This window comes from Homo sapiens, chromosome 3, assembly GCF_000001405.40.
Source record: "Homo sapiens chromosome 3, GRCh38.p14 Primary Assembly".
NCBI lineage: Eukaryota > Metazoa > Chordata > Mammalia > Primates > Hominidae > Homo > Homo sapiens.
In genome coordinates, this window is record NC_000003.12 from 42,929,255 (window position 1) to 42,943,440 (window position 14,186).

General features: G+C 39.9%; 1 protein-coding gene and 1 long non-coding RNA gene across 2 annotated transcripts; one reads left to right on the forward strand and one right to left on the reverse strand.

The window, feature by feature from the left end:
• Positions 1–4,989: 4,989 nt before the first annotated feature.
• On the reverse strand, positions 4,990–7,531 carry KRABD1-AS1 (KRABD1 antisense RNA 1). The gene is made up of 2 exons (NR_122033.1): positions 6,503–7,531; positions 4,990–6,102 (listed from the first exon to the last, which is right to left on the reverse strand). It is a non-coding gene; the product is annotated as a KRABD1 antisense RNA 1 (long non-coding RNA).
• On the forward strand, positions 7,132–13,538 carry KRABD1 (KRAB domain containing 1). The gene is made up of 5 exons (NM_001205272.2): positions 7,132–7,201; positions 9,596–9,677; positions 11,972–12,098; positions 12,704–12,817; positions 13,284–13,538. Exons 2-5 carry the CDS (start codon positions 9,642–9,644, stop codon positions 13,391–13,393), a joined length of 387 nt encoding a protein of 128 aa, NP_001192201.1. The 5' UTR covers positions 7,132–7,201; positions 9,596–9,641; the 3' UTR covers positions 13,394–13,538.
• Positions 13,539–14,186: the final 648 nt, after the last annotated feature.

The window sequence follows — 14,186 nt, forward strand, 5'->3', positions numbered from 1 at the left end:
TTGAGTTCATATTGTTGTCAGGAGGAAAAGGCAATAAGCAAAAGGAATAAATCACATATACTTGAAGGAAAAGAGTTGTGAGTGCTGGGGATGGGTTTGCTATTTCTTTTTTTTTTTTTTTTTTTGAGACGGAGTCTCACTCTGTTGCCCAGGCTGGAGTACAGTGGCGCGATCTCAGCTCACTGCAACCTCCACCTCCTAGGTTCAAGAAATTCTCCTACGTCAGCCTCCTGAGTAGCTGGGATTACAGGTGCCCACCACCACACCTGGCTAATTTTTGTATTTTTAGTAGAGACGGGGTTTCACCATGTTGGCCAGGCTGGTCTCAAACTCCTGACCTCAGGAGATCTGCCTGCCTCGGCCCCCCAAAGTGCTGGGATTGCAGGTGTGAGCCACCGCGCCCAGCCTGGGTTTGCTATTTTTAAATGTTTGTCAGAGTAAGACCTCCCTGAAAAAGTAAAACATTGAAAAATATCCTGAAGGACATTTTCTTTTCTTTTCTTTTCTTTTCTCTTTTCTTTTTTTGAGACAGAGTCCTGCTCTGTCGCCGAGGCTGGAGTGCAGTGGTACGATCTTGGCTCATGGCAAACTCCGCCTCCTGGGTTCAAGCGATTTTCCTGCCTCAGCCTCCCAAGTAGCTGGGATTACAGGCACATGCCACCATGCCCAGCTAACTTTTGTATTTTTAGTAGAGATGAGGTTTTGCCATGTTGGTGAGGCTGGTCTTCAACTCCTGACCTCATGTGATCCACCGGCCTTGGCTTCCCAAAGTGCTGGGATTACAGGCAAGAGCCACTGTACCTGGCCCTTGGATATTTTTACTTAACATAAAATTTTGGGTTTACATTTCTTTTCTTTTAGCACTTTAAAAATATTGTTCCATTTATGGCCAGGCATGGTGGCTCATGCCTGTAATCCCAACACTTTGGGAGGCTGAGGAGGGTGATCACTTGAGGTCAGGAGTTCAAGACCAGCCCAGCCAACATGGTGAAACCCTATCTCTACAGAAAATACAAAAATTAACCAGGCGTGGTGGTGCATGCCTGTAGTCTCAGCTCCTCGGGAGGCTGAGGTGGAAGGATCACTTCAACCTGAGAGGCGGAGGGTGCAGTGAGCCAAGATCATGCCACTGCACTCCAGCCTGGGTGACAGAGTGAGACCTTGTCTCAAAAACACACACAAAAAATTGTTCCATTTAAATTCTTTTCTTGTAGCACTTTAAAAATATTGTTCCATTTAAAATTAGAGTAATGTGAATCATTGTTCCCCTATAAATAATGCATTTTTTTTTCTGTCTGCTTCCAAGTTTTTTCTTTTTCTCAAATACATTTCTTTTTTTGAGATGGGGTCTCACTTTGTTGGCCAAGCTGGAGTGCAGTGGTGAGATCATGGTTTACTGCCTTGACTTCCCAGGCTCAAGCAATTCTCCCACCTCAGCCTCCTGAATAGCTGGGGACACAAGCATATGCTACCACTCCCAGCTAATTTTTAAAATTTTTCTGTAGAGACAGGATCATGCTATGTTGCCCAGGCTGGTCTCAAACACCTGGACTTCAACAATCCTCCCACCTTGGTCTCCCAAAGTGCTGGCATTACAGGCTTGAGACACTGTGCTTAGCTTTTAAATATTTTTTATTCTGTAGTTTGATTATGCTGTATTTAGGCCTGGGTTTGTGTTTATCCTATTTGGAATTCACTAAGCTTGAATCTGTAGGTTTATGTTTTTCCATCAAATTTGGAAAGTTTTCAGCCTTCATTTCCGCAGATATTCATTCTACACCACACTCTTTCTCTTCTCCTTCTGAGACTCTGATGACGTGAATGTTAGACCTTTTGATGTTGTCCTCATAGGCCCCTAAGGCACTTTGCATTTTTCATCTTTTTTCCTCTGTTTTTCAGATTAGGTAATTTCTATGAATCTATCTGCAAGTTCACTGTTTTTTTCCTCTGTCCTCTCCATTCTGCCATTGAGCTCATACACTGAGTTTCTTGTTTTTTTTTTTTTTGTTCTACAATTTTCATTTGGTTCTTTTGTTTTCTATTTCTTTGGTGAGGTTTTCTGTCTTTCCATTCATTTCAAGAGTGCCCACTCTTAATTGTTTGAATATTTTTGTAATAGCTGCTTTAAAGTCTTTTTGAGATAATTCTAACATCTGTGTCATCTTAACATTAGCATCTGTTGATTTGTTTTTCAATGAAACAATATTTTTTCTGGGTATTTTTTTTGTACGCCAAGTAGTTTTGTATTGTATCCTAAGCATTTTGAATGCTATATTATGAGACCTCGAAGCATGTTTAAATTTTAAGTATAAGTGCTAATTTTTTAAAAAGCAGTAATTCAACCCTGTTGGGTTCAGGGTGCAAAATCTGGCAATTTTTCTTTGATTTTTTAAAATCCTAATATCAGTTCATTTTTCAAAACTTTTTGTAATACTATCCATATCTGTTCCCTGTGCAGGCTACCGAGTGGCCATTCTGGGGCTTGGGAGGTAATGTATTCCATATTTAGTTCTGTCTATGCTGTTTGGGGTCAGATCCATGCATGTGTAGCTCAGGAATAAACCCAGGAGTTTATAAATAACTTTAACAAATTGTTTTACTGACCTCAACCTTCTCTGAAATTTCGCTAGTAGTTTCTGGTCTATTTGTGCCCCTCTTTTCTTTTTTTCTTTCTTTCTTTTTTTTTTTTTTTTTTTTTTTTTGAGACAGAGTCTTGCTCTGTTGCCCAGGCCAGAGTGCAGTGGCACAATCTTGGCTCAGGGCAACCTCCACCTCCTGGGTTCAAGCGATTCTCGTGCCTCAGCCTCCCAAGTAGCTGGGATCATAGGCGCCCACTACCACACCCAGCTAATTTTTGTATTTTTGGTAGAGATGGGGTTTTGCCATGTTTGCCAGGCTGGTCTCAAACTCCTGGCCTTCAGTGATGTGCCTTCCTCAGCCTCCAAAAGTGCTGAGATTACAGGTGTGATCCACCGTGCCTGGCCCTTGCCCCTCCTTTCTGATCCTCCAGGTAAAAGCTGAGGTTTTATCTAGCCCTCTCTGCTATAAACTTTTTGCAATTGAAACTGTATGCTACTCCCTTATGGTCACAGTAAGCAGTGAGAGGACCGAGAAACAAAAAAAGCAGCTTGAGTTTCTCTCACCCTCTTGAGATCACAGCTCCTCTGATCAGAGAGAAAGATTCTTACTCTCTCTGAGTTTTAGGTTTTGGACAACACCCATTAGTCTTGCTTCTATCCCCAGCACAGATTACTTGGGACTGGGGCATGGAAGTACAAAGAAAAGAAATCAGAGGATTTCTATTCTCTTCCAGAGCATCAGATGACTCCTTTCCATGCCTTGAGCTATTATAGAACTTGAGGGCTTCTCCCTTACTTCTGTCTCTGCTGATGCACACTTCCAGAATTTGGGCTATGTATAGTTCAGGCTAGGGAATATGAGAAGAAAAAAATGGTAAACTCACTGTCAATCTTGTGGTACTTTCACTTCTGTTCCTCCTCGAACAGCTTGCTCCTATTTACCTTTCAGAGTCAAATACCTACTGTATGCATCCTACCCAAGGTTTAGACCTGCATTTAATGGAAACAACTAGGTAGAATAGGCTAATTATATCTTACCTAGAACCTCATCCATCTTTTTACTTAACATTTTCTATGTGTTTATATTTAAAGCATGTTTCTTGTATGCAGCATGCAGTTGATTCTTGCTTTTTTTTAAAAAATCAAATCTTACATTCTCTTTTTTTTTTTTTTTTTTGAGACATAGTCTTGCTCTATTGCCCAGGCTGGAGTGCAGTGGTGTGATCTCGGCTCACTGCAACCTCTGCCTCCTGGGTCCTGGTTCGAGCAATTCTCCTGCCTCAGCCTCCCAAATAGCTGGGATTACATGAACGCGTCATCATGCCCAGCTAATTTTTGTATTTTTAGTAGAGACGGGGTTTTACCATGTTGGCCAGGCTGGTCTTGAACCCCTGACCTTGTGATCTGCCCACCTCAGCCTCCCAAAGTGCTAGGATTACAGGCGTGAGCCACTGTGCCAGGCCTCTGTCTTTTAATTAGTGTGTTTAGAGCATTTACTTTTAATATAATTATTGATATGACTGAATTAAAATCTATCATTTGCTAATTGTTTTGTATTTGTTCTATCTGTTCTTTTTTTTCTCTCTCTCTCTTTTAAATCTTCTTTTGAATTGAGGATTTTCTGTGATTCTGTGTTACCCCCATAATTGATTTGTTATTTCTACTGAAAAGTTTAATGCATATTTTCAGAGCTTACAATATATATCTATAATTAGAGTCTATTTCCAAATAATATCACTTCTCATGTAGTGTATGGGTTTTGCAACACAAACTGCCAAACCTCTCCCAACATTTGTGCTATTTTTTGTCATGTCTTAACTTTTACATGTGGTATTAACATAGTACCTTGATATTATTTTTGCTTTTGACAGTGACTTATCTTTTAGAGTAATTTTTAAATAAGAAAAAAGTAAGTTTTATATTTATTTTCATTTCTTGACATTTCTAGAGGTCTTCATTTCTTTGTGTACGTCCAAGTTTTTGTCTGGTATCATATTCATTCTGCCTGAAGAATACCTGTTAACATTTTTTATGGTACTGATCTGGTGGCAATGAATTTTGTTTATCTGGAAAAGTCTTTATTTCTCCTGCATTATTGAAAAATATTTTTGCGGGATATAAAATTCTGGGTTGACAAGTTCCTGACCTTTCTCTGACCTACTATCAGCACTTTAAATATGTTACTACATTATCTCTGGCTTGCATGGTTTCTGATGCAAAATTGGTTATAATTCTTATTTGTGTTTCTCTGTATGTAATGTGTCTTTTTTCTCTGGCTGCATCCAAATATTCGTGTATGTATATATATTTATATACACATACTATACACGTATAGTATACACCCATATATGCACATACACATACATACACACAAATACGTATAGCGGCTAAGGCAAAAATGAAACAGGCATACTTTTTCTTTCGGTAGATCTTTATTGTGAAGGCTTGAGTTGATCTAATCAGGAGTTAAACTGTGTTTAGGTGTTTTTGTTGCTATGGTTATCCACAGGCTTCAAATTCTTCTAGTATTACCTTAAGTTTAGTGTGTGGGATGGTTTGCTAAAGGAGATTTTCTCAATGTTTGCACCACTCTTACCTTTAGGCCTTCCCTTCATTCCTGTACCTCAGAGAGGGGTCTTTCTCCATGTTTTTATCCTTCTTTTAGCAGTAGATTGCTGTTCTTATTGACTCAGCATTTGATATTTTGGTGGTGGTAGAAGGGATGGCATTTTCTGTTGTGATTCAGCTTTAATCTTAGGTAGGCACTGTGTCTCTGAGACTTAAGGGTGGGGTCTATTAAGTGATGTTGCCCTATCCTCAGCTGTAGGACACCTCCATGGTCTGGAACCAGGATGCAATTCTACCGCTATTTCGTGAATGGAGAGCTTTTTGTTCTCTTTATTCCCTTCAGTTCCACTGGATCTTAACCAGTCCCTAAGGGTGACAAGATTTGCTTTTTCATCCTCAGAGGCTTAGGGCTTTTGTTCTGTAGGGGAAATAGGAGAGAAGGACCTGGATGGGGATTCATGTCTTTTCTAGCGGGAAGGTTTTCATAAGATTCTTCTTGCCTTACCTTCAATTGTATGTGTGTATGTGTGTGTGCACACATTTGATGATGTCCATAGAGAAGAATATACAAGTGGGTGGAAATTCTGCTTGTGTCTGTGGTTCACAGGAGTTCTGTAGTCTCTATATTCTCAGGCTAGCCAACACTTGGACCTCAGCAACTCATTAAACATTTTAGCTGATTTCTCCTTAACAGCTTACATGGCATCCAATGGCATCTGTCCTATGTAAACAAGTGCTTACAACCATCTCTTCTTGAAAGTGCCTGTCTTACATCAGATTTTAGATTAAGTCGTTTGCCCCCAGATCTTAGCTTTCTGATGTGTTCAAGAGAAAATTTTAGATTATCTGGCTGTTTTTTGTTGTTGTAAGGGTGAGGCCATGCACTTTTCAGTTTTCTACATCGTGAGAAGGTGAATTTCTTGATTTTTCAAAAAGAATCACACTTTTAAAAACCCTGAAAAATAAAGAAAAGAGACTGAGCTACCAGAACGGCAGTGACTTTGGGTGGCTCTCACTTATGCCAGGCACAGGGTGAATTCAGGGCTCTGGGCTATGAGGGGTCGACTGCAAACCCCTGCAGCAGATGTGAGCTGCATGTGTGGGCCCCTGTGTCAGCCTGTGCTCATTTGTCTTCCTACAGTGATACTGCATGTGATACACAACACCCAAGGACAATGGAGGTGGGGGCAAATGTCCCTTATTCTTCACACCCTTCGCTGTTGGCATCAAAGCAGTTACTCTACCTTCTCCACAGGCTTTGGCACAGCATGTCAGGAAGTTCTCTGGGGTGGCCACACCTATTTCCTCTAAGTGCTTTCAACAGGTTTTTCATCATGATAGGTATCCTTTCTTACCTCTGATTGATGTAGTCATGCTGTTTTCCTGGGACAGTGTTAAGCTCTGCTGGACAGGGGATGAATATTTCTTGGGTAAACTGACTGCTCTCACTTTGCCCATGGTCCATTGCTAATCCTCTCTGCTAGTGGTAATGTATGGAAGTGAGAGGCGTCAGCAACATTGAAAGACATCACATTCTAGGAGTGCAATCATTACAGCAATTCAAGAGAAGTCCTGGTTGTATAATGTGTGATTCGTTCATTATGCTATAACAATCCAAATGCTAAATTTAACAAGATCAATAAAACGTATAACCATTCACATTTTCTTGCATATTCTGGGTAAGACTTGTAGTTGCAGTTATTGTAGCACAGTAATAAAGGCACTGGAAGCCAGTATTCAAGGTTGGTACGATGATGCAGCGTCATGAGCAAGGTGCCTCAACTCAGAACTGGGCTCTGGAGGAACGCCAAGAGCCTATCTCGCCAGCGTGCCCTTTTCCTCACGGGAATTAGGAGGGAAGCACCAAGATGTGGGGTCCTCCACGAGTCCTAGAGAGAAATCCAGAGAGTGTATGGGTTCACCAGTCAGTGTGATGACGCACTTCCGGGGCCGCCTTCGTTTTTGTCGCGCGAGGTTTTGGTTTGTGAGGATCGGCGAGTGGCGCCCACCATCTCTGCTTGCTGAAAAGCTGCAGAGGCCGCCAGGAGCCCACGGTGAGCGGGTCTGAGGAGGACGGGAAACAGCCCCGAGGGAGGCGGGTGTGGCTACTGCTGGTACTGGGGTCCTCATGCCGATCCCCGAGCTTGGCTCTGTAGCGTCGAGATGCGGCGCTGGCAGAGGCCTGGAACGCTGGCCGCAGGCTCCCACCCCCCTCGTTTCCCTGTACCCAGGGCAGCCTGTGGCCCACTCAGAGTCGGATACTGACACACATTCGCATGTTAACTTCGAAGCCCACAAAAAGTTTTAACTGTCCACACTCCAGAATCTTCTATCAACAGAACATGCCCCTCGGTCGCTCCAGCCCCCTTGTCTTTGACCCGGATGCGGAAACCCCAACCCTACCCCTCAGCTTGTCAGTTTCCACGTTTTCAGTTGGTCCCTGAAAATCAGTTGGTGATCAGTTATTTTCGCCTGCCATAGTGTACACCAGTCTTGAAACTTGTTACTGTCGTAGAGCAACCAAAAATTTGAGAATACCGAATTGTATTCCCTACCCGTCCCCAGGATGTCCCATTTTGGAAAATATGGAGCCCTGCGATCTGGATTGGCTCATAAGAATGTTAAATCTAAAAAGACTGATCGTATCCGTCATGCACCTAATGTGTGTCCAGTGTTTAACATAGTTTCCTATGTACAGGATTGGAGATGTCGAAAGATTTCTTGACCTCTTAACATTGTTCATTATATTCTTTTCTTTAGATTCTCTGAACTTTTACTCCACTGTCATAATTTAATTGTCAAGGTTCATAGGATAACATTCGATGTCCCTGCCATTAGTCAACTATGTTGGGAGTGTGATTTGTTCTCCAATGTGGCTTGTTATTTATGTTTCATCTCCACTTAGCTTTCCCCATAGGAAGACACTTCCATAGGGAGTGTTTTGTGTTTTGTAGGGTGACCTCTGTTGTAGTTCTATTTCCAGATGATTTCCCTTTCGCAGATTGTCAGCTGTGCAGATCAGACCTTTTTGCTTAAGTCCTTTTGTTTGATACGCTAATCCTATTAAGTATCCACTGTAAGGGACATTTACTGCCGATACAATGACAGTATCATGATTTTAGAGAATTAGATTCCACAATTACAAGGGTTAACTATTTACTTAGTATGAATCACTGCTTTTGTTACCCTTTCTTGGACAGAAACCATCCATGAATTTAGCAGCATTACTTGTGTAGGTTTACATTGTGTTTTCTTTTAAAGTACTTCTCTTTACACTCATAAATATTTCTCCTTACTGGACTCCCTGTTAACTTCCAAGATGCCTTTTCTGGCGTCTCCTGACAGCTGTTTCTCTGACACCTTCAGCTTCCTCTACCTTCCTGAATGGCTTTCTGGATTCACTAAGAAGAGTCATTGGAGGGAGGGGCAGTGCACTGGCTTTATAGTGTTTTGTCTGATGCTGTTGCAGTACCCTAAGACTTACAGCAAACTGCAGATATGGAGTTGGAACGGAAGTTGTTTTTAAGGTCTATGAGTATATGCACTTTTATGTGTTTGTTTATATGCTTTTTGAATATCTCTGATCCAACTGTTGGCAGCTCTTTGTATTTCAGGTGTTGTCTTTAATGCATAAATATTGATGATTCACTCTTGAAAGGCAAAAGACTTACTTCCTAATGATGAACTAATTAAATGACCCAGAATGAGAGTTGGAACTAGTTTAGAAATGAAATTGTTTTGTTTCCTTATACTATAACATTTGGAACTTGAAGTATTTGGGACATGTTATGAAGTTGATGGATTCTTTTAATATGGTAATGTTTTCTTTCTCATCACCCACTCCAAACACCTTTATAAAACTGAATGAGTATCTTGTATTTAGGGGAAAAATAGTAGTAGGGAGGCATCAAAATATTTCTGATAACTATTTTCAAAGTCTGTTCAACTTTCATTACTTCAGTCATAGAAACTCTTGTTCTAATATTAAGTAGCATAGGAGGAAAAACATGCTGAGGTCTTACAGTGTTTAATGGATTTCTTTTATATAACTCATTCCTATCTGTACTACATAACTCATTCTTATCTGTACTGTATGGATTTCAGGGATCTTAACTGTTTAGAATTCCAACTTTCTTTTCTGCCTATAACACTCTGTCCACTGTCTACCTTAGTTTCCTTTTCTGTTTCCTGTCCTGTGATGTATTCTATGGATTAGCTGAAATTATAGTTTTCTCAGTCCACTTTTTCATCACTCATTCCGTGGATGATTCTACCTCCTTTTTGCATTTCTCTGTATGCCTGCTATCTCGCCTTTGTGAGATTGATAATAAGCAATAACTAATGAACGGTTATTGATATAGCCTTCAAAACAGATGGGTCAGAGGTTGTTTGTAGGACTTATGGTCAATAAAGTTATTATCGTTAATGTTTTTTTTCTTTACCTTCAGCACCTGAGACTTTTACCTTTACCCAGAAAGGAATAAAAGAGGTCAGATGATGACAGCTGTGTCCTTAACAACCAGGCCCCAGGTGAGCTGTTTTTTTCTATCTCTGTACATATCCCTGTGTGTATATACATATGTGTTTATTAGATACATACATAAAAATATCTATATTACACATTTACATATATATAACATACTTTTATATATGTGTGTATGTGTACACACACACATTTCTCATTGAGGTTTAACTTACACAACACAAGTCTTAACAGTATAGCTCACTTTTTAGAACTATGTACACTTGTATGACCTCACTCATAGAAACACATAGAACATTATTAGCACCCCAAAAGGCCCCTTCATACTGCCTCCCAAGCAATCCACTGCTCATCCCAAAGTTAACCACTATTCTGACCTCTGTTACCATAGGAAAGTTTTGTTTGTTCTTGAACTTCGTATAAGTGGAATCATTAAACATGCATTCTTTTGTATCTGCCTTCTTTTGCTCAACGTTATGTCTGTGAACTTCACTGACGTTGTTGCACACAGCAGTGATTTGTTCTTTTTCACTACTGAGTAGTTTTTCATTTTGTGATAATAGCACATTTTATTCATTCTATTGTGGATGGACTTTTGGTTGTTCCCATTTTGGGCTACCATGAATAAGAATGCAGTGAACATTCTTATCTTTTTGTGGACATAGATGCTTCTTTCTCTTGGGTATGTCTCTGTGAGTAAAATTTTAGCTCATAGGGTATATATACATTTGGTTAGTTTAGTAGATACTGCCCAACAATTTTCCAAAATGATTATTCCAATTTATATTTCTGTCAGCCGTGTACAGTTGCTCCACATCCTTACCATTACTTGTTGTCACTCGTTTGCAGTATCTCATTGGGGTTTAAAAAATCTTCTCATCTCTAGTAAGCAGTGATGCTGAGCACCATTTCATAGGTTTATTGGCATATCCTCTTATGTGAACTCCCTGTTCAGATATTTTTTCGTATTTTTTATTACACTGTACCTTTTTTTCTCCTAAGTTGTATTGTTTCTTATTTATTGTAAGTCCTTTGTCAGACATATGTGTTATTAAGTAACTTCTCCCAATCAGTGGCTTGCATTTTCACTCTCCTAATGGTATCTTTTGATTATAGATTTTACTTTCAATGAAGTCCAGTATATCAGTTTGTTTTGTATAAGAAATCTTTTCTTACTCAGACATCATCAAGATGTTCTTCTGTGTTTTCTTCTAGAAGATTTATTGTTTTACCTTTATACTTAGGTGTGTGATTCATCTCAAATTAAAGGTGTGAGGCATGGGTCAAAGTTCTTTTTCCCCCCATATACATATCCAATTGATTCAGGATTATGTATTGAAAAATCTGTCTTTTACCCACTGAATTGCTCTAGTTACTTTGTCATACATTTGGTGAACATATATGTCTGTGTCTGTTTTTAAAATCCCTATTCAGTTCTATTAGTTGAATTTTCTGTCTGAACCAGTATTCCATGACACTCACTGTTGGTGAGTTACATGGAATTTTGCAACACAACGTAACATGGAGGGCTTTTCTCCAAGGTAATTAAAAATACATAAAAATGGTAATTGATAAAACATTCTTTGGCACTTGGCTCATAGGTTCCCTTAATCTCATACTCCATGTTAAGACCATTTCCACTAGAGCTCTATTTCTGAAATACAGAGCTTGACTCCAGGGCTTAAAAACTTGAAATAGACACCTTTTTAGGCCTATCTTGAGCCTTATGCACCAAGTTGGTCTAGACCCTAGCCTTTCTCAAGTAAGCAGTATTTTCCTGCGTTTCTCTAACCTCACTACCTCTGCATGAAGACAGGCTGCGGGTGGGAGTTCATTGACTGATCAGAGAGCTTTGTGCTTGGGGTAGTGGGCAAGGAGATAGGCAAGAACGAAGGATTAGAATGAAAGTAGAATTGGAAAATGGAGTAATATGAGTAACCCAAATAATCACTGGGATATATACAAATTAGGGAGGGGCTTAGAGCTAAGCTGACAGCTATGTTCGGGGGTCAGTTCTCCTTCCACAAGTGCACTTCTGTGATCGGGCCCAAGCCCAGCTTCTATGCAGCAGCTTCAGCGTCTGTGGAGGTCACATGTTTAGAAGCTCATAGCGGAGGTGTACTTGTTTCTCACTGGGAAAATATGCTGAACTCTGACTGGCTACTTTAATTCTGCATCTTCTTCCTCCACACCTAAATTTTACACAAAAACTCTGTAGGCACGTGAAGGACCCAATACTGAATACGTATCATTTGTAGATGCCCTTCTCAGGTCTCTCATTGGCAGATTTGACCATCACCAAAGTACTGAGGTCTGGGAAAGTAGGAACTTGTCGTTTCAGGAATCAGTGGCTTTTGAGGACGTGGCTGTGTACTTCACTACGAAGGAATGGGCCATCATGGTGCCTGCCGAGAGGGCCTTGTACAGGGATGTGATGCTGGAGAACTATGAGGCTGTGGCCTTTGTAGGTAAGGCCTCTCTGCTGCTGGTTTCTGCTTGGGCCCTCAGGTTGAAGGGCTCTTTTATAATTATTAGCTGACCCCAAATAGCGATGTCAAAGGTTGCCAGGTATAGAAAGCCCTGGTGTCTATTGACTTGCGAAAGGCTTTCCTTCTTTTTCTAGCGTAAAAGCTACCCTCCTTCCCTACCTGCCTCAGAGGTGATTCTGAGTACAGTAGGGCTTGAGCTATATCTTGATACCCTTAGCCTAGTATTGAACCTCCAATTTATCTTAAGAGAATGCAGCCACTTTGTCTCCCTCTGGGAGTTACTCCTAGGAGCCATTTGTCTTTTTCCCATAGTGAGAGATTTTCATCCTCTGACAAAGAAGGTAAAAAATCTTGTTGCCCTTTAAATAGAAATCTGCCTTCCAGGGTGTTTCAGGCTTCCTTGGAAGAACCATCCTGACTCTTCTTCCCAGGATCCCTCCCAGTACCTCTTTAGGGTACCTCTCGTATAGCTCACCCGGGAATTACTCTCCTCACCTCCCTTGCTTGTTCTTGTAGCCACAGGCTTAAATTTGACCCCTATGACTATGCTCATTATTGTGTTATGTTTTCTTCTTTTCGAGCAGTGCCACCCACTTCCAAACCAGCTTTGGTCTCTCATCTGGAGCAAGGGAAAGAGTCCTGTTTCACCCAGCCACAGGGAGTCCTAAGCAGGAATGACTGGAGAGCAGGCTGGATAGGTGAGTTAAGCAAGAGGGTTCTTCTCCAGCTTTGTCTCTTCCTTTGCCTTCATTTCATCAAAATGAAAGGTGTGTGTTCTCTGTGCCCAGCATCATGGAGTACACTGGGATCCTCGATCACATTTTTTCTGACCGGTGTGTTATTCATAGCTTCCCATCCCTTTAAAGCGTAGTACACAACACTCTTCTTCTGTATTTCACACACTGGGATGCTTTTATCCCTTGGGGATATGTAGAACAGTTTTTCTAAATACTTTACTGGTTATTTGTGATCATTTTTTTCCAGTTTCTCCAGTTTTACAAAATTGATAAACTTGGTGCAGTATTATCTTGTTCACTGACCAACAGAACAAGTAGAAAAATTTATTTTTGTTTTTCATGAGAACTAATATATTAACAATTTTAAATAATTTTTTATACTGAAATATTTTAAGCTTACAGTTGTTATGATTTTCCTCCTCTCTAGGATACTTGGAACTAAGAAGATATACTTACTTAGCTAAAGCAGTGTTACGTAGAATAGTATCAAAAATTTTTCGAAATCGTCAATGCTGGGAAGACAGGAGAAAAGCTTAATTCTTGACATTTAAATACCAGTTTTCCAAGTAAGGAGTTGATGTAAGAGCCACCTTAAACGATGTCAAATACACATTTTCTTTTTCTGTAGACTGGTAGATTTAATGTTTTTCATTCATTAAAATAACTCATTTTGATGTACAAAGCAGGCTCTCATGTCCTTTTTTAAACAGCTTTGTGGAGATATAATTCACAAATTATATTTAAATACAATTATATTTAAATACAAATTATATTTAAATACAATTATATTTAAATACAAATTATATTTAAATACAATTTACCCATTTAAAGTATACAATTAAGTGGTATTTAGAATATTCACAGAGTTGTGCAGGCATGCCACAGTCTACTTTTAGATCTTTAGAAACCTCTATCTGTTAAGAATCATCACCATACCCATCCCCAACTCTTGGTTTTAGGCAACTACCTATCTACATTTTGTTTCTATAAATTTCCTTGTTAGGGATAGTTGGTATTAATGCAGTCATACAATACGTGGCCTTTTGCCACTGGCTTTCACTTAACGTAATGTTTTCAAGGTTAATCCATTTTGTAACATGCATCAGTATAGTATACAAGTTACAGTGCAAATATGTTTTCTCATGGGTACATACTCTAGATAGATACTTGTTGGATCTTACAGTAACTCTTTGTATAACATTTCGAGGAATGCCAAAACTTTTTCCGAAGTGGCTATACCAATTTACATTCCCTCCAGCAATGTATGAGGGTTCCTAATTCTTCACATCCTCACCAACACTTAATATTGTCTACTTTTTTGGCTGTAGGC

Excerpts from the sequence above, each read along its gene's own strand:
- KRABD1 (NM_001205272.2), top strand. The coding sequence starts at position 9,642 with ATGATGACAGCTGTGTCCTTAACAACCAGGCCCCAG. Across the intron at positions 9,678-11,971 it reads CCTTAACAACCAGGCCCCAG|GAATCAGTGGCTTTTGAGGA; the intron begins GTGAGCTGTTTT and ends TTGTCGTTTCAG. Across the intron at positions 12,818-13,283 it reads CTGGAGAGCAGGCTGGATAG|GATACTTGGAACTAAGAAGA; the intron begins GTGAGTTAAGCA and ends CCTCCTCTCTAG.